The following is a 26874-nucleotide window of genomic DNA, read 5'->3' as shown; positions in this document are numbered from 1 at the left end:
AGAGTGAGACTCCGCCTCAAAAAAAAAAAAAACAAAAAAAAACACTGCTGATCACAGAGAACCACAACATATAATCATAACAAAGAAGTTTGAAATATTGTGAGAATTACCAAAGTGTGACACACAGACATGAAGTGAGCACATGCTGTTGGAAAAATGGCACCAACAGACTTGCTTGACGTAGGGTTTTACAATCCTTCAATTTGTAAAATATGCAGTATCTGTGAAGTGCAATAAAATGAGGTATATCTTTCTCCATCTACACACACATAGATGCATACACCCCCACCCCTAACACACACACACATACACTGCATTGGTTCTGCCTCAATACAAATTATTATTAATTTACCACATGACCTTGATCACACTGCTTAGCCTTTCTAAACCTCGGGTTTCTTATCTGTCAGATGGGCTAATAATAGTACCTACTTCATAGGCCACTTATGAAGATACACTGTGTTAAACAGAGATTCAAACAGATTAAGCACAGTCAGAAAATAACAGATGCTGGTGAGGCTGCAGAGAAAAGGAACACTATACACTGCTGGTGGGAATGGAAATTAGTTCAGCCACTGTGGAAAGCAGTTTGGAGATTTCTCAAACAAAATACCCACAGAGTGAGAGATTCCAACAGCAGGTTAAGTGACAAATACCAACACAACTGAGAGTAAGGTCTGTACTGGTGTTTGCACTTTGCAGCCAAATGACAAATGCAGCTGATTTTTTTCACTGAGCTACTGGGTTTATCAGGAAAGACAGGGGCTCAACCTTTCTTCTGACCCATTGGTAACAGAATCAGACCAATTAGCATTGAGCTAGTGTGGCAAAACCAATGGTTATTTATCAAAGCACACACAGACACACAGAAGGCATCATTCTGACCCTACTAAAAGTATACTTCAGGCAGAAATGCTGGTTAAGAGTTTTTAAAATTAATTTGACAAATATTAACTGGGTACACTAACAGGCACTCTTCCAGCTGTTGTGGATACGATGAACAAAACAGAAAAACTCTTGCCATGGTGAGGCTTATAGTAAGGACAGACATGACAACAAAATTAAAATCCATCCATCCATCCATCGAAGCTGTGTGTGTGTGTTTGTGTTTAGCAGTGAACAAAGAGACATTTATATTCTAAGTGTCAGGAGAAAAGCAAGCAGGGAGGGGGCAATCAGGAGTGTCAGGGCAATTTTTGATAGGACAGTTACGGAGGACCTCCCAGAGGAGGTGAAGGAGTGAGCTCTGCCACAGTCTTTGGGTAGGAACAGCTGGTGAAAGCCTCTGGGATGGAAGCCCCGCTGGTGAGTTTGAGAAACACCTAGGGGACAGACGTGGATAAAGGGGAATGAATGAGGGGAAGAATAGTAGGAGATGAGATCAGAGGGCAGCAGGGGGCCAAACACTGTGGGGCCTCATGGGTCTCTCTAAAGACTACGGCTTTTCCTTAGGGTAAAATGGAGATCCACTGGAGGGCTTTGAACCAGACTGACAGGATCTGACTTAGTAAATTTTAACAAGATCACTTTGGCTGCTGTGTTAAGAATAGACTGGAGCTGGCGAGGGGCAGTGAGGGAAACTCGTTAGGAAGCTAATAAAACAGTCCAGTTGAGAGGTGACAGCAACCTCATCATCCACTCAAAAAATACCTGTGGACACCCACCCTGTGGCCCATCATCTGCTGGCCCTGAGAATACACAGCTGAACAACTCCCCGCAGGAAAGGCACCAGGAAGGCATTCTCCACCACCTCTTCCTCAGGCAGGAAATGAGGGAGCAAAGGATGCTCCAACGTGGGGAGAACCCAGGACTCCATGGGAGGTGGTGGGGCTGGCGGGTGGGCTCCACTTGTTCACTGCTGACTCCCCAGCACCTACGACAGTCCGTGGTATAAATATTTGTGCTCAGAGTGACTTTCAGATAACAGTTTTTAAGGCTGCTTTAGTGTCAAACCAGTTTATAATTGTTTGCCAGTTTAAATGTTGATCAACTCACTAAAAATATTATGAAAGGACACACACCCACATACCTACACACGCCACACACTTCCCACAAATGTATGTTGAAGACTGATATAGATTCTATAACAAGCACATCGAAGACAGAATATTTCCAATTTCACAGAGGTTTCATTTGAGGGAGAGGGTAATAGAAAAATGTCTTTTAAATGTGAAGAATGTGATCCTATAAAGAGATTAGATTTTTATCATGCTTCTTCATAATTATAGTTTCTAATATAAACCTAGCACTGTGCTGCAAACTAAAAGTAATAGTTTTTAAAAATTAAGAGAGTTGATTATAAGACCGCAATGAGAAAGTCTTATTTTCTTACTCCTTATGGAACATAAGTAATTATGTATCACAGGCAATTAAAATCAACTCATATTTACAGACTAATAAACTTTTAAAATTACATGTAATGCAAATCACTCTAGAACAACACATTTTTACAAGTTATTTTGAAGTGTTTTAATGTCGCTGAGGACATTTAACAATTCTCAGGAACCAATTCTCACATTTTCCAGGCTAGCATTTCTCACATCCATGGATGTCAAGGGATATTGTGATTATGTATCTTCATAGCCTTCTACAGAGAACTTTATGTGCAAACTCTGAATTAAAGCCAGTGTCTAAGGGTATATAAATTATCCCATACAGAATAATTTCGTGGAAGTGATATTAGTGTGAGGCTTAGCTAAGCAAGGCTTAGCTCCTTGCTCAGCCTGCCCTAACGGTGGGAATCAGAAGCTGCCCCCGGCGCCTTGGCAGTTTCTGAAGAGTTATTTTTGTACATTTAAATATGTTCTTGGCCGGGCACAGTGGCTCACACCTGTAATCCCAGCACTTTGGGAGACCAAGGCGGGTGGATCACCTGAGGTCAGGAGTTTGGGACCAGCCTGGCCAACATGGTGAAACCCCGTCTCTACCAAAAACAAAAAAATTAGCCAGGTGTGGTGGCATACAACTGTAGGCCCAGCTACTCGAGAGGCTGAGGCAAGAGAATTGCTTGAACCCAGGAGGCGGAGGTTGCAGTGAGCCGAGATCGCACCACTGCATTCCAGCCTGGGTGACAGAGTAAGACTCCATCTCAAAAAAAAAAAAATTAAAAATAAATAAATAAATATATTCTTAAAAGTTTTCTCACAGTTGATGTAAAAGGATATTTGTCTCCAATGCACTCTATAGACTGTCAATTTATTCACATCTAACAAAAGACGAGAAATGCCAGTGCAACAAAGGCATTTAGAGTACTATAAAAACGCACAAATCGTCCCGGTGTGGTGGCTCACACCTGTAATCCCAGCACTTTGGGAGGCTGAGGCAGGCGGATCACGAGGTCAGGAGATCGAGACCATCCTGGCTAACACAGTGAAACCCCATCTCTACTAAAAAATTAGCCAGGCATGGTGGCAGGCACCTGTAGTCCCAGCTACTTGGGAGTTTGAGGCAGGAGAATGGCGTGAACCCACGAGGTGGAGCTTGCAGTGAGCCAAGATTGTGCCACTGCACTCCAGCCTGGGCGACAGAACAAGACTCCGTCTCAAAAAAAAAAAAAGAAAAAAATGCACAAATCTTCAGGTGGGCTGATATAACCGATACTACAAGTTCAAGGAAAGAAGGGGCAATCCATTTTAAATCTATAATTACCTTCTAGTATGTTTCAAAGATACTGTAACAGGAATTCTCATAATGGCTTTCTTCATAGTCCTATACTTAAAATTTTTAGGTATTAAATAGTCTGTTTGCTAGAAAGTATTAATAGAACTGTGAGATCTTGTATTTTATATCCATAATTTCCCCTTCATACATTCAGCCTTTTGTTTTTCACAGATCATAGAGATAACATTGTACTTATTAGTAGAAATAAACCAATTTGTTCTCACACACAAAGTTGGGTACCTTCAAATCAACAACTTCAAGAATCATGTTCACTTAAATCTTTGAAACTTTACAGAAAATTCCAACTGGGCATGGTGGCCTATGCCTGTAATTCTAGCGCTTTGGGAGGCTGAGGCAGGTGGATCACCTGAGGTCAGGAGTTTGAGACCAGCCTGGGCAACATGGTGAAACCCCATCTCTATCAAAATACAAAAATTAGCTGGGCGTGGTGGCACGTACCTGTAGTCCCAGCTACTAGGGAGGCTGAGGCAGGAGAACTGCTTGAACATGGGAGGTAGAGGTTGCAGTGAGCCCAGATTGTGCCACTGCACTCTAGCCAGGGCAACAGAGCAAGACTAGGTCTCTCAAAAAAAAAAAAGTTCCTACTATTTTTTGATTAATGAGGGTAAAATATGAATCTGATCATATGTTCGATATCTTATAAAATGGTCAGTTCAGAAGTTCCATGTTAAAATTACCAAGTCCTCTCAACCAATGAAAATCTATAGTCTTAAGAAAAAAAGGCTGGGCGTGTTGGCTCACACTTGTAATCTCAACATTTTGGGAGGCTGAGGCAGGAGCAACACTTGAGCCCAGGAGTTCAAGACCAGTCTGGGCAACATAGAGAGACACCGTCTCTACAAAAAATGAAAAATTAGCCAGGCACGGTAGTGTGCGCCTGTGGTCCCAGCTACTCAGGAGGCTGAGGTGGGAGGATCGCTTAAGCTCAGGAGGTTGAGGCTGCAGTGAGCTGTGATGGCTCTACTGCACTCTAGCCTGGGAGACACAGTGAGACCCTATATGTCAAGGGTAGGGGAGAAGGAAGGAAGGAACAAAGGTAGGTAGGTAGTGACAGTTACTACAGGACTGAACGAAGGCGGATGAACGCAGAAATGAAAACAAAAAAGAAACTGTTTTAAAGAAGGGGTCAGGGGGATCCCTGCTTCTAGTGAGCAAAGGCAGCCCTGAGCTTCTACAGCCTTTGTATTTATTGGGTAGAAAGAGCAGGGAGGAGTAGGTAACGATTGGTCAGCTGCTTGACTGATCACAGGTTCACATTATTGCTAACAGGCTTCAGATTTGCCTAATCACAAGCAACACTGTGCCTGGGGCATGACTGCCCTCAGCATTCCTTCTGGGCAGCAGACGCAGTTGTCAGCTTGCTAACATTCTGCATTCATGAGAACAGTTTGCTGTTTACTCATATAGCCTCCAGTGGTATACTGAGTTGATCACTGACCCTCATTCTTTCAGCCTCCAACAAAGGAAGGGAGGGAAGGAAAGGAGAGAAAGAGAAAAAGCATAAGTCCATCTTCCAATCTATGTCTGAAAATATAAATAACATAAGAGTTAACTTTTCAACAGTTTGACAGGTCCTAAAAGGTAAACACAGAATTACCATATGATCCAGCAACTCCACTCCTAGGTATATGCCCAAAAGAATTAAAAGCAGGGACTCAAACAGATATTTGTACACCAGTGCTCACAGTACTCAAGTGTTCATAAGTGACATTACTCACAATAGCCAAAAGGTGAAAATCACCCGTGTCCATCAACAGATAAATGGATAAACAAGTACAGTATATACATACAATGGAATATTATTCAGCCATAAAAAGGAACAAAATTCTGATATAGCTACAACATGGATGAACCTTGGGGACATTATGCCAAGTAAAATTAGCAAGACACAAAAGGATAAAAATATATGATTCTACTTATATGACGTACCTAGAGTAGGCAAATTCATAGAGACAAAAAGTAGAACAGAAGTTACTAGGGGCTGGGGGCAAGGCAGAATGGGAGTTATTGTTTAATCGCATTGTGAATGTGAAGTTACTGTCACTGAATTATACACTTAAAAATGATTATGATGGTAAATTTTGTGTTATTTATATTTTGCTATAGCAAAAAAGGAAAAAAAAAACCAGGATAATTAAACCGGGCAAAAAAGAGTCAAGTTTTCAAAGCATTTCCAATCTACCTCCACTATTTCATTAGGATTCTATTTTACAGATAAGGAAACTGAGGTTCAAACACCAAATGAGGAGCAAAGCATGGACCAGCACTCCAGCCAGTGGGCTCCACAGCCAGCCAACTGCAGCCTGGCTCACCCCACAGTCCAGCACACAGCACTTCTGAGTGCAAGCCTGCCTTCCCTCAGGACAGCCTCCCAATTCTACTCTCTGCCCTTATAGCTTTCCTCTCCCTCCACCAACTTTCATGTGAACAGTGGAATAATCACCACAGGGTAAAAGCACAATTCACAAGACTAGGAGAAAAGCCTAGGAGCACCTGAGAATGTAGGCCTTTCACAAGAGGACCACGCACACAGCACTTTGTGCTCAGAGTGCTCATTACCAAAGCAGACTAGGATGCTTCCAGCTGCAGGAAATCAGAAAACCCAAAGTCAAACTGGCATAAACCATGGGAAAATTTATTATCACACAGAACTATGAGATGAGAGGCAGAGGGAGATCCAGGCCTGGATCCTGTGACCAGCAGGTGAGTGCCAGAACCAAAAATGCAGGTTCCTTCTGTCTTTCTGCTCTGACAACTTCAGTGTCAGACTCACCTCAAGACTGATCCCCTCAAGGTCACAGAATGGCTGCCAGTGGAAATACGGTCACAGCTATGCTTCATTATTTGCTCTCTCATTCTGGATGTGAAGGAAAATGCTTCCCCCTCCCCCCTCAAAAAATAAAGTCTTTCCTTATGACTGAGGCAACCCAGATCATGTGGATACCTCTAGACCATAAACAGTCACCACGGGAAAACCATGCTCTCACCTACTTAAAGAATGGATTCTCATGGCTAAGGGTGAAGGGGAAGTAACCGAAGAAAATGTGCATCTCGTTATTAGGAAAGACAAAGGAAATGGATGCTGATAGGCAGCCAGCACTGTCCACTATTCCTGTGTTTCTCAAACTTTAATGCACATGAACTCCCAGAGGATCTCACTACAACACAGATCCGGATTTGGTAGGTCTGAGATAGATAGGGCCCAAGATTCTACATCTTCAATAAGCTTCCAGATAATGATTATGCTCCTGGTCCCTCTCTGCACACAGGAGCTATTCAACAATGGTTTGTGTGTCCCTTACCTAAAGAGCACACCTCCCCTAGTGACCAGGGTGTCTGGCCGCCTCCTGAGAGCGTCATGTCATGTACTTTTGTCAGGCTGGTTGCCAGCTGCGCTCTGAACATTAGAGGCCAGCACACTCCTCTCAGCTGTAATGGCACGGATATTGAATAGTGCAGGTGACAAATTACCCTGAGGCATCCAGAAACTAAGAAGCTTTTTAAACAAAAACATTTGGCAAAATAATCAATGGTGATAAATAATATACTCTAGCTCTAATGGCAAGCTGTTATAAATCTCTTGCATTTTATCACCCCATCTATGTTAAGAGTTTCTACCCCAAGAATAAGGAAGATACTCTTCTTCAGAGACTGTCCTTCAGTAGCACTACCCCAATGGGACACCATGCCAAGTACAGGGGGAGAAGGTGACCACTCCTCGGGAATAGAGTGTAGGCTCTAGAGTCTGGGATGAAGTGGAGCCATGGGTTAGTCTGGCTCATACTGAAGAAGATGTAAAGGGCAATAGGTATCAAGTGAATATACAGGAAATAAGTAGCAGCATCTCCTAGATTTTCCACAGGATCTCAATACCACTGACCCCACCAAGAGGTGTCATTCCTCCACCACCTCTTCTATCCTCTCCTGGCAATTTCCTTGGCTTCAGAATAACAAGGTGTTCCCCAACATTGAATGGATTTCCCAGAGAAAATGTAATGCTACAGGAAATGCATAGGATCGGAAATTCCAGGGCCCAGGTCTCAACATCAGCTTTGTCATTTTACCAACCAACTATGTGAGTAAACAAGTATTTCCTGAGTCTTGGTTTGCTTATCTAAAAAAATAAAAGAGAATGAGGATAATCATGCCTATCTATATCATCAAACACTACACAAATGTTTGTCCCTATCATTCGAAGTTCTCCGTATGGTAGAAGAGTAATCCCAGTTTTCCCCATACACCAGAGAACTCTGTAATTCTCACAAATCCTGGATGTTCAGATTGAAAATGATCTCAGGCATGGCTCCTCCATATACTCTAATGTCCAACAGAGTCATCACAGCAGTTCTGGGGGTGTACGGCCTGAAGCCAGTTCCCCAGAGATTCTGGGAAGGCTCGTCTGGGTCTGTACTAGCCTGCAATTTGGAATTTCCTGTTCCTTAGTAGTTTATGGCACTAATAAGAGTGTTTTGCAAAGCAAGGGATTTACCTTCCAAGCAAAGAGAAGACCACAAAATAGGAATGTCAATGAAAAACTATCATTATTTCTAATGAAAGAGAGCTGGATAGTTCTCTAAAGTCTCTTCTAACTCTAGTATTTTGGGATTGTGTGATCCTGGGCCTTTCCTAGAGAAACTTTAGCCCAGAATCCACTGCTAAAAAGCTTCTATTATGACCCGCACTTACTCCTGCCAAGCATAAAGCACTGTCCTCAACTGGCTCTCCAAGTTTATATAACAGTTAAAGGTCATTTGCTTCAATCGTGGAGCAATGATTTTAAAAAGGACCAACAGTTAAAAGCACACAAACGGCAGTGAGCCCCAGACAAGTACTAACTCTCTCCCTCAAAAGATATTTATCTGCACCCAGGCTGCATCTGGGCAGTGAGAGAAGGAAACCTTGAACCCTACAAATTGTGTCCAGGAGAGAGCATGGAAGACCATGCTAGAAAGTGGCAGCATATTCTCTTATGTAAGGAGGAGGCCCACATGAATTATGACTCTTTTTATGCTTTTCTCTTTAACATCCCATCACTGTCCACAGTGATTTCTCATGCACTGGTACCTTCTTCAGAGCCATCCTGATTAAACTTCGTTTATTTTTCATTGGATATGGCCGTGACAAAGGATTCTCAGATTAATATCCTTCATTTTCCCCAATCTATCTCTATGCCTCAGAAACTAAGTACTGAAGAAACTTCTGGTGTTTATAGTTAAATTGGACTAGGCACAGTGGCTCATGTCTGTAATTCCAGCACTTTGGGAGGCCAAGCTGAAAGGATTGCTTGAGGCCAGGAGTTCCAGACTAGCCTGGGCAACACGGTGCAACCTTATCTCTACAAAAAAATGTAAAAATTAGCTTGTCATGGTGGCACATGCCTGTAGTCCCAGCTACTTGGGAGGATTGCTTCAGCCTGGGAGGTCAAGGCTGCAGTGAGTGGTGATCATGCAGTATGGCCGACAGAGCAACACCCTGTCTCCAAAAACACACACACACACACACACACACACACCCAAAATATATATATATACACCCCAAAGTTCACTCATAGTGTATATATATAAATATATAAGATATATTTATATATTTTATTTATATATTATATGTAACTGTAATGTATTACTATTATATATTAATATATTTAACTGTATATTTTATATTTATATTTTTAACTATATACAATTATAGTTAAGTATATATAGTATATATAGTTTCATATATATACTATACGTATAGTATATAGTTTCATATATATACTACACGTATAGTATATATATAGTTTCATATATATACTACACGTATAGTATATATATAGTTTCATATATATACTATACGTGTAGTATATATAGTATATATAGTATATATAACTAATGTATTATGTATTATATATTGTATATTTTATATATACTGTATAAAACTGTATATTTTATATTTATATATTTAACTATAATTATATAGTTAAGTATATATAGTATATATAATATATAGTTAACTCTCTCAATATACATATGTATATATACACACATACACACACATATACACACATTAGAGACCTCTGTACTTCTCACAAATCCTGGACGTTCAGATTGAAAATGATCTGAGGCATGGTTCCTCCATATATATACATATATATATATATATATACACACACACACACACACACACACATATATACACATATACACACATATACATATATACATGTATATACACATATATACATATGTATACATATATACTACATAGTATATATACAGTATATGTGTATATATGTATATTGTATATCATATACATATATACAGATATATCTGTATATTGTATATGATATACAATATACATAGGTATGTATGTATATTGTATATCATATACATTATACATATACTATATACATATATACTAGTGTATGTATACAGTGTATATATGTATATATGTGTATATACATATATATACACATATATACATATATATACACATATATACATATATATACATATATATATAGGAACCATGCCTTGGATCATTTTCAATCTGAACGTCCAGGATTTGTGAGAATTACAGAGGTCTCGTGTGTGTGTGTGTGTGTGTGTGTGTGTGTGTGTGTGTGTGCGCGCGCGCGCATATATGTATATAGAGTGTGCTAACTATATATTATATATACTATATATACTTAACTATATAATTATATTATAGCTAAATATATAAATATAAAATATACAGTTATATATAAATATATAATACATAATACATTATATATTTATATTATAAATAAAATCTATTATATAAAAATATATATTTATATATATATAGTATGAGTGAACTTTGGAGTGATGAAAATATTCTCAAACAGCATTGTTGTAATGGTTGTGCAACTGTATAAATACATAAAAGCCTTATACACTTGCAACAAGTGAATTTTATAGCATTTAAATTATACTTCAACGAAGCTGTGTGTGAGTTTGTTTTTGTTTCTTGAGGTAGGCTCTTGCTCTGTCGCCCAGGCTGGAGTGCAGTGGTGCAATCACAGCTCACTGCACCCAACTTCCTGGGCTCAAGTGATCCTCGCACCTCAGCCTCCCAATCAGCTGGGACTACAAGTGTGTGCCACCACGCCCAGCTGAATTAGAAAACAATTTTTTTTTTGTAGAGATGAGGTCTTGTTATGTTGCCCAGGCTGGTCTCAAACTTCTGGCCTCAAGCAATCCTCCCACCTCGGTCTCCCAAAGTGCTGGGATTACAGGCATGAGCCACTGCACCTGGCCTAAAGCTGGGTTTTTTTTTTTTTGAGACGGAGTCTCTCTCTGCCGCCCAGGCTGGAGTGCAGTGGCACAATCTCAGCTCACTTCAAGCTCTGCCTCCCAGGTTCACGCCATTCCCCTGCCTCAACCTCCCGAGTAACTGGGACTACAGGCACCCGCCACGACGCCCGACTAATTTTTTTGTATTTTTAGTAGAGATGGGGTTTCACTGTGTTAGCTAGGATGGTCTCGATCTCCTGACCTTGTGATCCGCCTGCCTCAGCCTCCCAAAGTGCTGGGATTACAGGCGTGAGCCACCGTGCCTGGGCTTTATTTATTTATTTTTTTTTATTATTATTTTTTTGAGATGGAGTCTCGCTCTGTCACCCAGGCTGGAGTGCAGTGGCGTGATCTTGGCTCACTGCAAGCTCCGCCTCCCAGGTTCACGCTATTCTCCTGCCTCAGCCTCCTCAGTAGCTGGGACTACAGGCACCTGCCACCGCGCCCGGCTAATTTTTTTTTTGTATTTATAGTAGAGATGGGGTTTCACCGTGTTAGCCAGGATGGTCTCGATCTCCTGACCTCACGATCCTCCTACCTAAACCTCCCAAAGTGCTGGGATTACAGGGGTGAGCCACCGCGCCCAGCCAGCTGTTTATTTTTAAAAAAACACTTTGTATTTTTCCTAGTCATTTTATGTTTAAACATTATAAAGTTCTAATCATACCATATTTATAGTTTCACATCCTGTTTTTCTGAATAATATGTCATGACATTAAAATATTACAAAGCTTTAATAAATATGATAAATATTATATAATTTCACTAAACTCTAGGATATCATCAGGCATTTTAAGTGATCCTTTTATTATCTACATAGTTTCAAACTTTCTGGTAGTATAAATAATGCTACCAAAATCTACTCACACCCAGTTTTCTCCACACGTTCTTAGATTTGATTAACAAAAGTAGAAATTACAAATTACAAGTTACAAATCATTTTAAACTTGACACATACTGACAAATTATTTTACTAACAGGTTTTATCCATTTGTCTTTCTTCTTAATAATTAGCTTTTTGCTATTCTTGCCTGTTTATTCCTCTCAACGAACTTCATAATAATTCTGTCCATTTTACCAAAAGAATTCCACTTGGAATTCTGATTAATAGTATTGAAGCTATATATTAATATGGAAAGTTGAGGAAATTCGTAAGAAAAAAATTAATGTTTCAGCTAAAAAATTTAATCCAGTAATCTGGAAGCTTCATTTATCTAAAATATAACCTCTTCCCATATCAAATAACTTGTTCCTGCATTGCCTCCTAATGGAGAAAGCAAACACTGTACTTACCATCCTGGCCAACATGGGGAAACCCTGTCTCTACTAAAAACACAAAAATTAGCTGGGCATGGTGGTACACGCCTGTAGTCCCAGCTACTAGGGAGGGCGAGGCAGGAGAACTGCTTGAACCCAGGAGGCAGAGGTTGCAGTGAGCCGAGATCATGCCACTACACTCCAGCCTGGGCGACAGAGCGACACTGCATCTCAAAAAAAAAAAAAAAAAAAAAAAAAAAAAAAAAGAAACACTTTACTTGTACATTATTATTGAAATAATCCATGTCTAATTTAATGTCAAGTCAACTGAAAAGTTACTTATTAGCAACTACCCACAAATATACTTCACTAAACCAAACAAAAAGCCATATATACCAAATAAAATATACTGCGCATCATTATTTATTCATTTGACAAGTATTCACTGAATGGCTACTATATGCAATGCACTGTCCCATGAGCATGAGATTTTTAAGTATCTCAAAAAGCATAGGTAGCTTTTTGTAGAAAAGTGCTATATTCTTAGAAAGTAACGTCTTATCAAAATTTATCTAAAATATCCAACTGCATATTTTGGCTTTCATCTCATTTGTTCAGCTAATCTCCAGTAATGCTTTATCCTGGAAAGCATGACAGTGCAAAACAAAACTTCATTTCTAAAAAGTTCCCAAGCCTTATATTCGTAGAGTTCCCATGCCTTATATCCTTGGAGTTCCCATCACCCTCCACATTCCAAAACCTATCGCCGTAACTTCCGTCATAGAAAGCATTCTAAATGAATGAGCAAATTATCAGAGATGTGGTTTTTGTCTGTTCTCACGGTCCCAAAATGACCCTTTGCCAGGGGGGCTGGTGGGGAGAGCATGGAACAGACCTCTGAAATTTTGAGGAATTGCTGGAACTTGTTTTGTTTTTCATCAAACTCAATAGACAGTTCTGTATTAAAATTAAGCATCACATTCTACACTTCACCAACGTCCTCTGTCATCATGAATACCACTCCCAAAGGGAAAGCACCTGACGAATACTGGAAAACTCAGGTCTAAAACAAAGTACATTTCATACAGTATATACCACATGCTCAGGGTTAAAACATTCCATTACGAAGTATAAAGGAATTGTGTTAAACAGACATCTGTAGATGCTTCATGCTTTGTATAGATCTGGCAAATGCCCAAAAGACAAAAAAGTTCTCAATTCCTGATGTGGGTTAGCCAGCATTGAAAAAAAAAAAACAAAACCCAAACATTGTTAAAATTGTTTCAGCAATTACCCTTACACCCACCTCAAAGTTATATCATTGTAATTCTCATCCATCTTATTAACCAGGTAACCTAGTGTCCTAGATATCCATCATTTTAAAATCTTTAACCACATTTTTTCATCATTATCCTCAGTCATGTAAACACATTCAATGACCTGAAATGGGCTAAGTGCGAACACAGCTTTCCAGATTTCATGGGGCTAGTCACAAAGCTCCTACTTTCTTGAACCCATTTTTAAAAAGAGAAAACCAGTCTCTAGCCATGTTTACAAAGGTTTCACGGCTATTGCAAAAATATCACTACCCACACTCCTAAAACAAAAGGCTGCTCATTTGACGGATGAATTACTCCATCTCCAGATTCTAATTAAGACTACTATATATTCCCTAAAACATGCTTCAATATGACAAAGTCCGTATTGTATTCTAAAGAAAGAAGTATTCTGACAGCAATCCAGTAAAACCCAAGGGAACCGATATATTCTAATGTAGGCAATGACCTTAAATGCTGGTATTTTGGGCACCATTTCCTCCACACACTCTATCAAGGAAAAATTTGAAAGTGGAGAATGAATAATTGTTTTGTTCTGAAACTTCCCATTAGAATAACAGAAAGAGGCGTTCAACACAAGCCTGAGGAACCAGGCTAAATTTTAACCTATATTCCTATGCTTTAGCTTCTAGGACACTCAAAGAACAAATCTCAACTGGACAGAAGACATAAGTCAAACTGCCAACAGTCCCTCTTGGCTAGTTATGGGCTTGGCACCTGTCATTTTTACCTGTCTCTTTCTGCATCTGTGTTGTGGGCCCAGCTATGAGAGAACTATCCCACCCAAGAGAGTGTCCACCCTCTTGGAGCCAGCAGTTAGCAAACTGACCTATGCTGGAGACACTAAGCATCATGTTCTAAGGGTTTGAAGAGAAAGACACCCTCAACCTCATCAATTCCACCTCTGCCCTATACCATCCCTTGGTGATGAAGGGTACAGCAGAGCAATCCCTAAGGATGTCCTGCCTGACTATCCACCACCCAATCCACAACAGGACTTGGCCTATTTCCCAGCAACTGAAAAGTTTAACACCACTATCAGTAAGTGTGGAAGCACACCAGTTTTGTGTTGAAGTCAAAGTCTAACTGCACCTTTGCAATCCAAAGCGCAAGGTAAAACCTTTATTCAAAATTTACATTAAACAACTTCAAACCACAACTCCCCCAATGAACTCCATCAACCCTTCTTCTTACCTCATAATGAAATCAGAACTCTTATCTATCAGCCATTTCATTTTTTCCGTAACAGACTAAAGTTATAGACACAATTATAGTCAGGGAGACCATTACTGAAAAGCAAAACGTTATACTTCAAACACAAGCATCATTAAGGAAACTTTATTCTCCATTATAAAACATGCACAGTATTGACACCCAAATGATTTACAGGTGCTTTATAGAAGTCTCCATAAACAACTTACTTTGCCCTTTAGAGATTATCTTCCTTCTATCTTTCATTGAACATTTCAAAGTCTGTATGATATTTAACATAAAACTATTTATACCATTGTCTTTAAAAAAAAAAAAAAAGATCACTCAAATTAGACAGGCTCGCTAGAGAATGATCCACTAGGCTCTGCTGGTTTAGCTATAAATGACCCAAACATTAATGATGGAATGCCAATCAGCCAATGAACAGGGATCACTTAATATGAGTGGGAAGTTATCACCATTCCAGTGGACTTCCAAGAAGTGCAGAGGCCATCCTAACCAGAGGGGCTCATAGTACAAGAGCAACATGCACTTACAGAGTAGGAGGGCGGCCCAGGCACCGTGGCTCACACCTGTAATCCCAGCATTTTGGGAGGCTGAGGCAGGAGGAACCCTGAAGCCCAGGAGTTCAAGGTTGACAGTGAGCTATGATCGATCCACTGCACACACTCCAGCCTCGAGGACAGAGTAAGACTCTGTCTCCTAAAAAAAAAAAAAAAAAAAAAAAGGCGGTAGCCTGAGAGCAAGGGAAAACAATCACTAGTCCAAGTCAGAAAGTGACACCTCAACCCTAATTTAGTACTCTGTAAACCTAAAGCATCCAAAAGTGAAGGACTATCTAGATACCACAGACAATGTACTTTTGGAGCACAGATTCTATAACCAGTATTATACTAAAGTGATATATGCTAAGGCAATACACATATTATTAAGTAGGAGACTAGACAGGATTACATGCTAACAACATAAGAGTGATGTGTAATCTGTCAGATTGTATCATCAGATTACTAAATAGTTAAGGAGGGCTTCTCTTTTTAGAAGTACAGCAGCTAGGACCTGCAATGTCTTCAATAACAATTAGAATATTTCCATCTTTGAAACCCTCAATGCATTAATAATAATCCAGATTGAAAGTCTGCATAGTGGGGTCCAGAGGCCAAACCAGCCTGTCCCTGTTTTTGTACAGCCTGTGAGGTAAAATAGTTCTGTCATTTTCCCATTTATTATGAAAGAGGTGCATCTGAATCAGATATGGGTAAGACTCAAGGCACCATTCATCCTGAGGCAAGTTCTCCTCCAGCTATGAGCCCTTAAGATCAAACAAGTTACCTATTTCCAAAAGACACAGCAGTCTTCAATAATTTTTAAGAGAGTAAAGTGGTCCCAAGACCAAGAACTGAGAACTGCTTTTTTAGATCCAACTACCAATTTACAGAATATATTAATATAATAGAGGATGCACCGGCACGGTGACTCAGGCCTGTAATCCCTGCACTTTGGGAAGCCGAGGCGAGGCAGGTGGATCACCGAGGTCAGGAGTTCAAGACCAGCCAGGCCAACATGGTGAAACCGCGTCTCTACTAAAAATACAAAAAATTAGCCAGGCGAGGTGGTGGATGCCTGTAATCCCAGCTACTTGGGAGGCTGAAGCAGGAGAATCCCTTGAACCCGGGAGGCGGAGGTTGCAGTGAGCCGACATCAAGCCACTGCACTCCTGCCTGGGCAACAAAATTATATATATGAGGATGTTAAACCATATACCCTGAGGATATAAGCTGGTAAATCCAGATGGCAGGAAATTCTTCAAGATAACCATGCAATTTCTTCAACAACAGCAACAACAAAATCACAAGAGAAAAGAAAAAGATGAAAGGTATACTTATATGTTAAAAGAGACTAAAAGACTTATCAACCTATCAAATTTGTGAACCTTATTCAGATCTCAATTTAGAAAAACCACAAAATAAAATCGATGTTTGGGATAAACAGAAATTTAAACACTGTGTAGTTGATGATATCAAGGAATTACTACTCATCTTTTTCAGGTGTGATGCTGAGGTTATGTTTAAACAGTTTTTTGAAGAGTCCTTATCTTTTAAGGATACATATTAAAATCTCTATGATATGACACAGGGGAGAGAAGAGTGAAAAAAGATTGGCCTTCAGTCAAAGATTTGCCATCAGTCAATAATTATTGAGGCTGGCCCAGTGTGGTGGCTCACACCTGTAATCCTAGCACTTTGGGAGGCCAAAGTGGGTGGATGACCTGAGGTTAAGAGTTTGAGACCAGCCTGGCCCACATGGTGAAAACCCGTCTCTACTAAAAATACAAAAATTAGCCAGGCATGGTGGTAGGCACCTGTAATCGCAGCTACTTGGGAGGCTGAGGCAGGAGAATCGCTTGAACCCAAGAGGCAGAGGTTGCAATGAGCCAAGAGCACCAGTGTACTCCAGCCTGGACAACAGAGCAAAAACATCGCCTCAAAAATAAATAAATAAAATAATAATTGTTGAAGCTGAGCAGAAACACACAGAGACATATTATTCTCTGTATTTTTGTATATGTTTGAAATCCTCCATAATAAAAAATTAAAAAGCATAGATTTCATGACATACATCCCTCAAGAAGTATGGGATGAGGCTGAGCAATCAGCATTTTTAGCATGAACCCCATGCCATTAGAAGTCTGCAGCCCATGTTTTGAGAGCACTGTTCTCCCTGATTCTTGAATTTTCCCTACAACATTCCAAATAAGCCAGGCCTCTGGTTGAACCCTACGATGACCAATACACCTCTACCTGCTAAGAATCCAATAATATTTGACTGGTCCTAATGTCTTCAATAAGTAACAACTAATCTATAATAACTACTAACAAATTACCACTTCCTCCTTTAAATTTCTTTTTACTTTTTTTGAGAGAGACAGGGAAAGAGAGAAGAGAGAAAAGAGAGAGGGAGAGAAAGACAGAGAAAGAAAGAGTCTTGCTGTGTTGCCCAGGCTGGAGTGCAGTGGCAAGACTCAACCTCCCAGGCTCAAGTGATCCTCCCACCTCAGCCTCCTGAGTAGCTGGGACTCTTCCTGGACCAAACTGAGGGTTGGGCTGCTATTTCTCGTGGCCCAATAACGAGATGCAGATGAACAGGGGAGGAAGAGAGTTTTTATTTCTGCAACCAGTTACAGGGAGAAGGCCTGGAAATTATCACCAGACCAACTCAAAATTGCAGTTTTCCAGAGCTTATATACCTTCTAAGCTATATGTCTACAGGTAAGTGTGCATTCACCTGAAGACGTAAGTGATTAACTTCTTTTAATCTATAACTAAGGTCTGAGTGCTGGAGACCTTCTTCTGGATCCTCAGTAGATTTACTTCATCTAAATGGGTCCAGGTGCTGAGGTGATTACCCTTGTCTCCTACTAAATCACAGAGGTTTGGGGAGTTTTTTCAGACCCACAATAAAATTTGTTTAATCCTAAAAGGGTCCTGTTAAGAATTCTTTTGTTATTTTCTCATGCTTTAAGGCCCAGGAAAGGCCTAGGCAAAACTCTTGGTAGGTTTCTGTTACACTCCAGCCTTTGATAAGGGCACTGACTTGTTTAGCTTTTACTATTTCACTTAACCAGTCAGTCAGTATTGAAACAGTTGTTATGGAGGCCTGCATTAGTGAGACCTAGCCTGCCACAGGACTACGGGCACGTGCCACCATGCCCAGCTAATTTTAAAATTTTTTGTAGAGATGAGGTACCACTATGTTGCCCAGGCTCATCTTGAACTCCTGGGCTCAAGCGATCCTCTCACCTCAGCCTCCCAAAGTGCTGAGATTACAGGTGTGAGCCACCATGCCCAGTGAAATTTCTAAAAGACTTTTTTAAACAGTCTCTTATGGGACTTGTACACACAAAGCTACAATATTAGACAATGTGTCCTTCACTCTATTACAGCTGTATACTCCATGCCCTATAGCATAGTACAGTGTATATAATGGACACAAATTGTATTGAAAGATGTGTTCCAAAATTTGTAAATATCACTTTCACATATGCAAGCACAGCCAAGAGTTCAAATAAAAATAATGAAGTTTGTGTGTTGCACACAAATACAGACACATTAAATTTGGGTAGAGAACTGAATCTTACCCAATGCATTCTCCGGGAGGTCAAGAAAAGAAAGCCTAATAGGTGTTGAAGCAGCCAAGGAAGTCATCTTCAAGACAGAGGAGTTTAAGCTGGGACTTGAGTTGTAAGACTTGGGAACTCCTACCCCCTTAAAAAAGGAAAGGCTACTCCTAGCAGAGTAACAAAAATCAAGTTCAGAAAGAAGGACTGTGGTATGGTTGGCAATAAGATGATATAAGCGTAAGGGTAGGAGGGAGTAAAACTGGATAGGTTGTCTGGACATGCCAAGAAAAAGCCTTGAGACTTGGAAAAACAATTAGCGAGCTGTGACCTCTTCTTGACCAGTGCCATGAAGTGAGGAGACACAGGGCTCTACAGGGCACTTCGGTATGAATCCCAGCTGTCACTAATTGTATGACTTGGTGAGTTCTTAACCTCTTGAGCTTGGTTTCCTTATCTGTAAAATAGATATAAAGATCCTACTTCGTGGTGTGGCTGTGATGGTAAGATTATATAAAACAATATCCTTAAGGTATTTGTGTGGAAGTAGGTAATTAAGAGAAGGTGGTTATGACTAACCGAGTTTCCAAAACAGTGGCCTAGGAGGAAACTAAACAAGGATGCCTAAATATCATCTGAATTTCTCCTAAATGTTTCATGATGTTGGGTCTCTGCCAGCAGTCTGTAATACACTGTAGAGTCAAGCTAAACCAAAGAAAATGATCCTGTTTTACTCAAAGTTTTGTGAATTTATTCAAACAACGTCAAAGACACTAAACAGAGCTAGCCCTGAACTTTTCGATTCACTAACAACAAATAAAAGGAGAAATAAAGCCTACTGTGCAGCTTGTTTTTCTTTGGATATTTAACAAATTTGATTAAGACATTCCTTTACTTCCAGAGATTACACTTTGGCAGAAAAGCTTAGACATATATACAAAAAACTATAAAACAAAACAGAAATTGGTAATTACCAAAAAAGAATTCAAAATGCTTTGGGAAAACAGAAAAAGCTCTGAATCCCTAATTCCCTACTACACAGCGGGGGCTAAATTAATGCTCCAGGAATTCGTTATTTTATGAGAGAAGCGGCAATTTTGTTCCAGCTGCCAAGAAAACACAAAAGATGATGATTTTCCAGGCCCAGAGAAGGGCATGAACAGCACTGAGGCAGGAAATCATCATTTTCAGAAAAAGGCAGTGGGTTAGAGAGACAAAGGCTAAGGAAACAGTGTGTGACAAGGCTATGAAGATGGGTTGGGCCAGATCACAAACAGCCTTAAATTCCAGGCGCTGGAGTTTGGACCTACTTGACAGGCAATAAGCAGCTTCTCAATATTTTGAAAACATGTGACCAAAGTAGTTCTTTAGAAAAATCTGAAACCAACATGGATGACAGATCAGTCAGGTGCACCTGCACTGTACCTGCACAGAAAAACAAATCCTGTTGAATCTACTGCACTGAGAAGGAGAAACAGCTAGCTGTGGCAAAAGCTGCAACTGCCTACCCAATGTCCATTCTCCCTCCCTTCCTCACTGTATTAACAAGGCAAATTTTAAAATGGACAGCAATGTGCCCAGCTTTAAAAGTAAGCAAACAAAAACAAAACAACAGCTACATTTACCAATGAGAAATAAACATATCTGTTTAAGTAGTTGGTAACATTTGTCACTCAGCTGATGCATTGGTAAGGAAGCCCGTCAATAGGAAGGGATCTCTCTGGGGAGGAAAAAGTTGCAAGCACCAGCACATGTGGCTAGGAATACCAGGTCTTCAACAACACTTCTGAAGTGTTCTTCAAAAGGAATCACTTGAAAGAGACTGACATCCAGGACACCTGTAATAGAACAATTCTGGGCCAATATCCATAATTCATTCAGACATTTCCAAATGTACTATGTTAATGGGCTCAGCTATAGGTCTTGGTCCTCAAGGTATTTACTCTATACTGTAGACAAAAAGATAAAATATATACACACAACAAACTGTAACAATGCAATGTGAATAAAGTAACAGAGCAAACCAACGTAATATAGCAGAGGAGACCCCACAATACAACCACATCTTGGGCTGTATTCCTAACCCTGCTGTTAACTGACTTTCGGCCTTGAATAAACTATTTTACCTTCTAGGCAAATCCTGTCCTGTAAAATAAAGAAGCAGTGTATTTAAATAAAGGGCTAATGCAGGGGACCCACTAAAGTGCATGAGTTCAGTAGGTTCCAACTTTTTCACATATAAACCCACTTTTTAAATGTTAAATAAATTTTCTTAGATCTTCATGTCACCATGATTGTCTTTTTAGCACGTTAACAGATAAAGCATGCACTATATAAATACTACCACGAATTCCACAAACCCTTTAAAAGAATCTGTACTTTATCAGCCAGGCGCGGTGGCTCAAGTCTGTAATCCCAGCACTTTGGGAGGCCGAGGCGGGCAGATCACAAGGTCAGGAGGTAGAGACCATCCTGGCTAACACGGTGAAACTCCGTCTTTACTAAAAATACAAAAAATTAGCCAGGTGTTGTGGCAGGCGCCTGTAGTCCTAGCTACTTGGGAAGCTGAGGCAGGAGAATGACTTGAACCCGGGAGGCGGAGCCTGCAGTGAGCCGAGATCATGCCACTGCACTCCAGCCTGGGCAACAGAGCAAGACTCCGTCTCAAAAAAAAAAAAAAAAAAAAAAAGGAATCTGTACTTTATCACCTGTTAAATGAAAATTAGAAACATTCACAAAACATCATTTGTTCCACTTCAAACACTTAGTATGTGCATAGATTTTTTTTTTCAAGCCAGTTGGAATAAGTTTACAGTCCACAGGACACTGGCTCTGCATTCTCTCAAGTCTTTCCCAGTCTTAATACTATCATCTTATGTTCATTTGAAAGATTTTCAGAACCAGGGTGAAAAGGAAATCAGTAAGAAAGGAGTGAAAAAAGAAAACGATGGATTCAAGAGAAAATTCGAAGGTAAGAACTCAGCAAGAAGGTGGCTATAGGGAGGGAAGGACAGGAAGAAACAAAAGCAACCATGTTAGGTGCCATTAGCAGCAGTATAAGTCCGGAGGAAAAGAACCAGGATGATGGGAAATGATGACTTCATTGAGCATCTACTATGTTCCTGGCATGGTGTTAAATGGTTTAAAAATGAAAACATACACGATTTTAAAAATCAAAACAGTACAAAAAGCTATACAACAAAAAATGTCCCTCTCATCCTGGATTCTCAGGTGCCTAGACTCCCTCTCCAGAAGCAACAATCACTAAAAATTTCATCGGTATCCTTTCAGAAATATTTGCATTTGCCTTCATATTTAGTTATCACAACAACCTCTGAGACAGGTGGGATTATTTTATAAATTAAGAATCTGAGGCTTAAAGACGCTGACAGGGCCAAAGTCAAAGAGCCATGAAGGGACAGAACTAGGACTAGAACATGGACCCAAACACTCATGCACATACTAACTCTACACTCAGAAAGCTATGAAAACTCTGGTAGCTGGGTGCAGTGGCTCGCGCCTGTAATCCCAGAACTTTGAGAGGCCGAGAAGGGCGGATCGCTTGAGGCCAGGAATTCAACACTAGGCTGGGCAAGATGGGGAAACCCTGTCACTACAAAAAATACAAAATATTAGCCGGGCATAGTGGCATGTACCTGTTGTCCCAGCTACTCAGAAGTCTAAGGTGAAAGGATCACCTGACCCCAGGAGGTTGAGGCTGCAGTGAGCCATGATTGCACCACTTTACTCCAGCCTGGGTGACAGAGTGAGACCTTGTCTCAAAAACAAAACAAAACAAAAAACACTCTGGCAGAGATGTTCAAAGTGTTTGTGATAATTAAAAAATAGAACCCAAATAACCACTAGTCAAGGACTGGATGTACAAATCATATCACATGTACACTGTGAAATACTATGCAGCCATTAAAACTAAGGTTAAAAAACATAAGGTAAACCCAGATACACCGCTCTAAGACAGCTTGTTGAAGTAAAAAAGCAATTGCAAGAAATGGGGAGTTGGTATTTACTGGTCACAGAGTTTCAGTTTGGGAAGATGAAAAAGTTCTTGGAAGGAAGGGTAGTGATGGTTGCACAGCAACGTCAATGTACATAATGCCACAGAACTGTACACTCAAAAATGGTTAAAATAGTAAATTTTGTTTTGCATGTTTTCCCGTAACTTTTTTAATACTAAAAAAAGCAATTGCAGAATAGTATGACTATGATTCCATTTTTGTAGAAAGGGAAAGTATGTGTAAACATTACTTGTAAATGCATGTTGTCTGTTATCTTGCTTTACCTTGCCTGCTACTCAGACATCCTGAAAGCCCTGGATTCCTGGTGTGCTGATGCTGAGTCCCGTGCCTCCCACTGCCAAGCACATACTCCCAGCAGCTGAACTACTGCCTTCACCTTTCTTCCTACCTCTCACAGAATGCACTCTTCAGCACTTGCTTTATCTGCAGCTGTCCCGCCCCACTGTTAAATGTCACTGAAGACTCATCAAGCTCCAAAACGTGCTCCAACGTGAAAAAAGATGCAGGAAAATGACTCCCTTACTCATTCCTGCAGTAAGCTCCAGGGTGGAAATGTGTGATATGATCAAATAAAAGAGATGAGATTATATCAGAAAGAGTGAAAAGGAAACCTCTGTTGCTGAAGAATGCACAGTATATGGCAACAGGTAGTGCAGCTCCTGCTTCTCAAGTGTCTTAAAATTAAAGTTTTTGGAAGACAATGTGGCAACAGTCCAGCATATAATGTAGATGACATCCCTGTGGGTGGAAAACCACAGCTTAAAGTGTAGTTACGAGAACTATAAAACTAACAAAATGGTTTGAGATGTTTTTCCTTCTATTTAAGTGCAAACCTAGGTAAGAACATGACCTATACTGAGGTTTATTTATTTAAATGATTATCCAAAGAGCAAACACAACATTATTGAAAATAGAGGCTTTCAGAGTAAAGCTCGGCTCTCCTGTTACTGATCTGCTGCAGCTATGGAAGTTTCTCTGACCCAGTGGAGGGGCTCCAAGGTCCCCCTCTCTAGGAGGAAAGGAAAGCCTACTTGTTGTACTCACATTTAGCAAAGGAAAGAACTGCCCAGGAGACAGGTCAAGGGGCTACAGCAAAGGGAAAAGGGTGGGAATGATCAAATAAAATCAAGACAGCACAATCCTGATGGACAGTTTTCTCTAAGCCTGCAAAAACCGGAACCACCAGAACTGAAATGATCTTTTGTACCACCAAACTTTCCTTAGCTTTCTTAAAAATCAACAGTTCGATTTTCTCACCATACAAACAGGCACAGAGCACTGAAAAGTGTGAATACACTTAGGCCCATGGCATTGTCCCTCTTCATAATGGCACTGGCCATTTTCTTATCAGGGAAAATCCTGAAAGGCAGAAAGTTGCTTCTTCCATGGTGGTCCAAGTCTTAGTTATTACATCCTACTAAAACTAGCCAAAACTACAAGGCACACACTACCACAAGCATTCAAGAGCAATTTTAAGAGAAACCTTGTATTTGTTCCTTTTTAAATATCCCCAATACCTGCATATCCTTCATCATTTAGGATTATGTCTTTAACAGTGGTTCTTAAAGTATGGCCTTGAACTCCTGAGGGTCTCCAAGACCTTTCTAAGGGATCCGAGAGATCAAAACTATTTTCATCATACTAAGATATTCCTAAGAAGTCACTGTAGCATTGTGGACTGTGTTGACACACAGATAGTGCAAAAACAACAGTCGGTACAACTGCTGGCCGCTTAGCACTAAAGAGGGCCGTGGTACTGTCCCTGAATTCTTTACCTTTATGTACTCACAGGAAAATAATGTCAATTTCACTTTTTAAGTGAAATGGTACAGTCATGCTGGAAAAAAACTGTCAGTTTCTCAAAAAACTAAACATACGATTTCTGTACAACCTGCCAATTGCACACTCTTGGACATTTATCCCAGAAAAGGAAAAGTTACATTCACATAAAACTTAGACAGGCTGAGCACAGTGGCTCTAAAATTCCAGCACTTTGGGAGGCTGAGGTGGGTGGACTGCTGGAACCCAGGAGTTTGGGACCCCCAGACTAGCCTGGACAACATGGCGAAACCCTGTTTCTACCAAAAAAATACAAAAATTATCCAGGCATGGTGGCGTGTGTCTGTAGTCCCAGCTACTTGGGGGACTGAGGTGGAAGGATTGCTTCAGCCTGGGAGGTCTAGGGTGCAGTAAGTCATGATCATGCTACTGCATTCCACTCCAGTCTGGGTGACTAAGCAAGACACTGTCTCAAAAACAACAACAAACACCTGTCTATTTGTTCGTAGTAGCTTTCTTAATAGCCCAAAACTAACAGCCTGAATGTCCTTCAAACATGTGAACAGTTAAACTGCTGTACATCCATACCATGGAGCACTACTGAGCAACAAAAAGGAACAAACTATGACATGCACAACAAATAGCGTATGATTCCACTTACATGAGATATGAGGTACCAGCAGTAGTCAAAGTCATAGACAGAAATTAAAATGATGGCTGCCAGGGACTGGCGGGAGGAGGGGAATGGAGAATTATTGTTTAATAGGTACAGAGTTTCAGTTTTGTAAGATAAAGATTTCTGGACATGTATGATGGTTACGGATGCACAATAATTTGAATGAACTTATTACTCTCCCTCCAAAAAGTAAATTACTAATGGTAAATTCAGGATGGGAAGGGGATAGGATGCGGAGAGACACTGGACCAGAGAGGTTTGAAGGTCTTAAAAGGAAACTATTATCTCCTTTATTACACTACATATCCGTTATTCTTAATATCTCACAAATACTTTAAATTTTATATCAACTTACTAGTCAATACTTTTTTTTAAGGAAAAAAGTCCATGATGAAGGAGTACAAATTATTGTTATCAAATCTTGAGCTTTGACTCTTTTTTGTTACTTGTGACCAAATGGCAGGCGTGCACTTCTGTAATAGAGCGATGAGCTGAATTAACTTGCTTGTGTCATGAAATACCATTTTTACGGGAAAGAACAACTGACAAACTAGGGTTATTTAAACCTGTATTGCCGGACACTTCCTTGAAACTGAACAAAGTGAGTCTGTCACTTTGAGGAAAACAATTGACAATATTTTGCTCCCAATGATAAAAAGCAAGCTTTCAACCGAAAATGAGAATTTTGGAAAACTTGTAAACACCACCTTGTATCTGACGGCTTTTAACATAAAGACTTTCCTAATGAAATCAATAGCGATGGTAACGAATGTTATTCGGCGCTATTAATGAAATGCGTCAGCTTGAGATCTGCCAAACTCAGTGAGCCAATATCTTCCAAACGACAAATATATGGTGTTACAATGGGTAACAGCTGCATTCAAACTGCAAGACAGACCAAGGAATTTTAACGTAACTGTGTGCAAAGGCCACTGACAGGAGCTTTAGCTGCATTCAAACTGCAAGACAGACCAAGGAATTTTAACGAAACTGTGTGAAAAGTCCGCTGACAGTAGCTTCAGATTCCACGTCCAAACCAGCCTTTGAGAAACTTCCACTTACGTAGTTTTGGTGTAGTAATAAAGAATACCCATAATTATCTGAAACAGCTATTAAGACAGTACTCACTTTTCCAACTACACATCTGTGTAAGATCAGATTTTCTTCATATAAAAACATACCGCAACAGACTGAACTGCAAAGGAGATGGGAGAACGTAGTTGTCTCTACTAAGTCAGACAACTCAAGAGATTCGCAAACTGTAAAGGACGCCAGTCGTCCCACGAACTCTTTTGTTTTAGCAAAACCCTATGTTGCATAAAAATGTGGTATGTACGTTAACATACCACGGATTTATTCAATGAGTTAATAGTAACTTCAGTGTCTCGGTTTTCCTTTCTAGTACAGTCTATGGAGATAGCCACCATTCCAGGTCCTCTAGTCCCAAGAGGGGTCCTGAGACCAAGACGTCTGCGACCCGCTGATC

The 26874-nt window shown here is 40.2% G+C and overlaps 1 protein-coding gene across 5 annotated transcripts in view; it reads right to left on the bottom strand.

The window, feature by feature from the left end:
* The window catches only part of LIMS1 (LIM zinc finger domain containing 1), a 153576-nt gene that overhangs the window by 125468 nt on the left and 1234 nt on the right, over positions 1-26874 (bottom strand). The gene's annotated exons all lie outside the window — the stretch shown is intronic.

The sequence above is a fragment of the Homo sapiens genome, chromosome 2 (assembly GCF_000001405.40).
Source record: "Homo sapiens chromosome 2, GRCh38.p14 Primary Assembly".
Lineage (NCBI taxonomy): Eukaryota > Metazoa > Chordata > Mammalia > Primates > Hominidae > Homo > Homo sapiens.
Note: the sequence above shows the minus strand (reverse complement) of the source record. Positions and strands in the feature narration are given on the sequence as shown.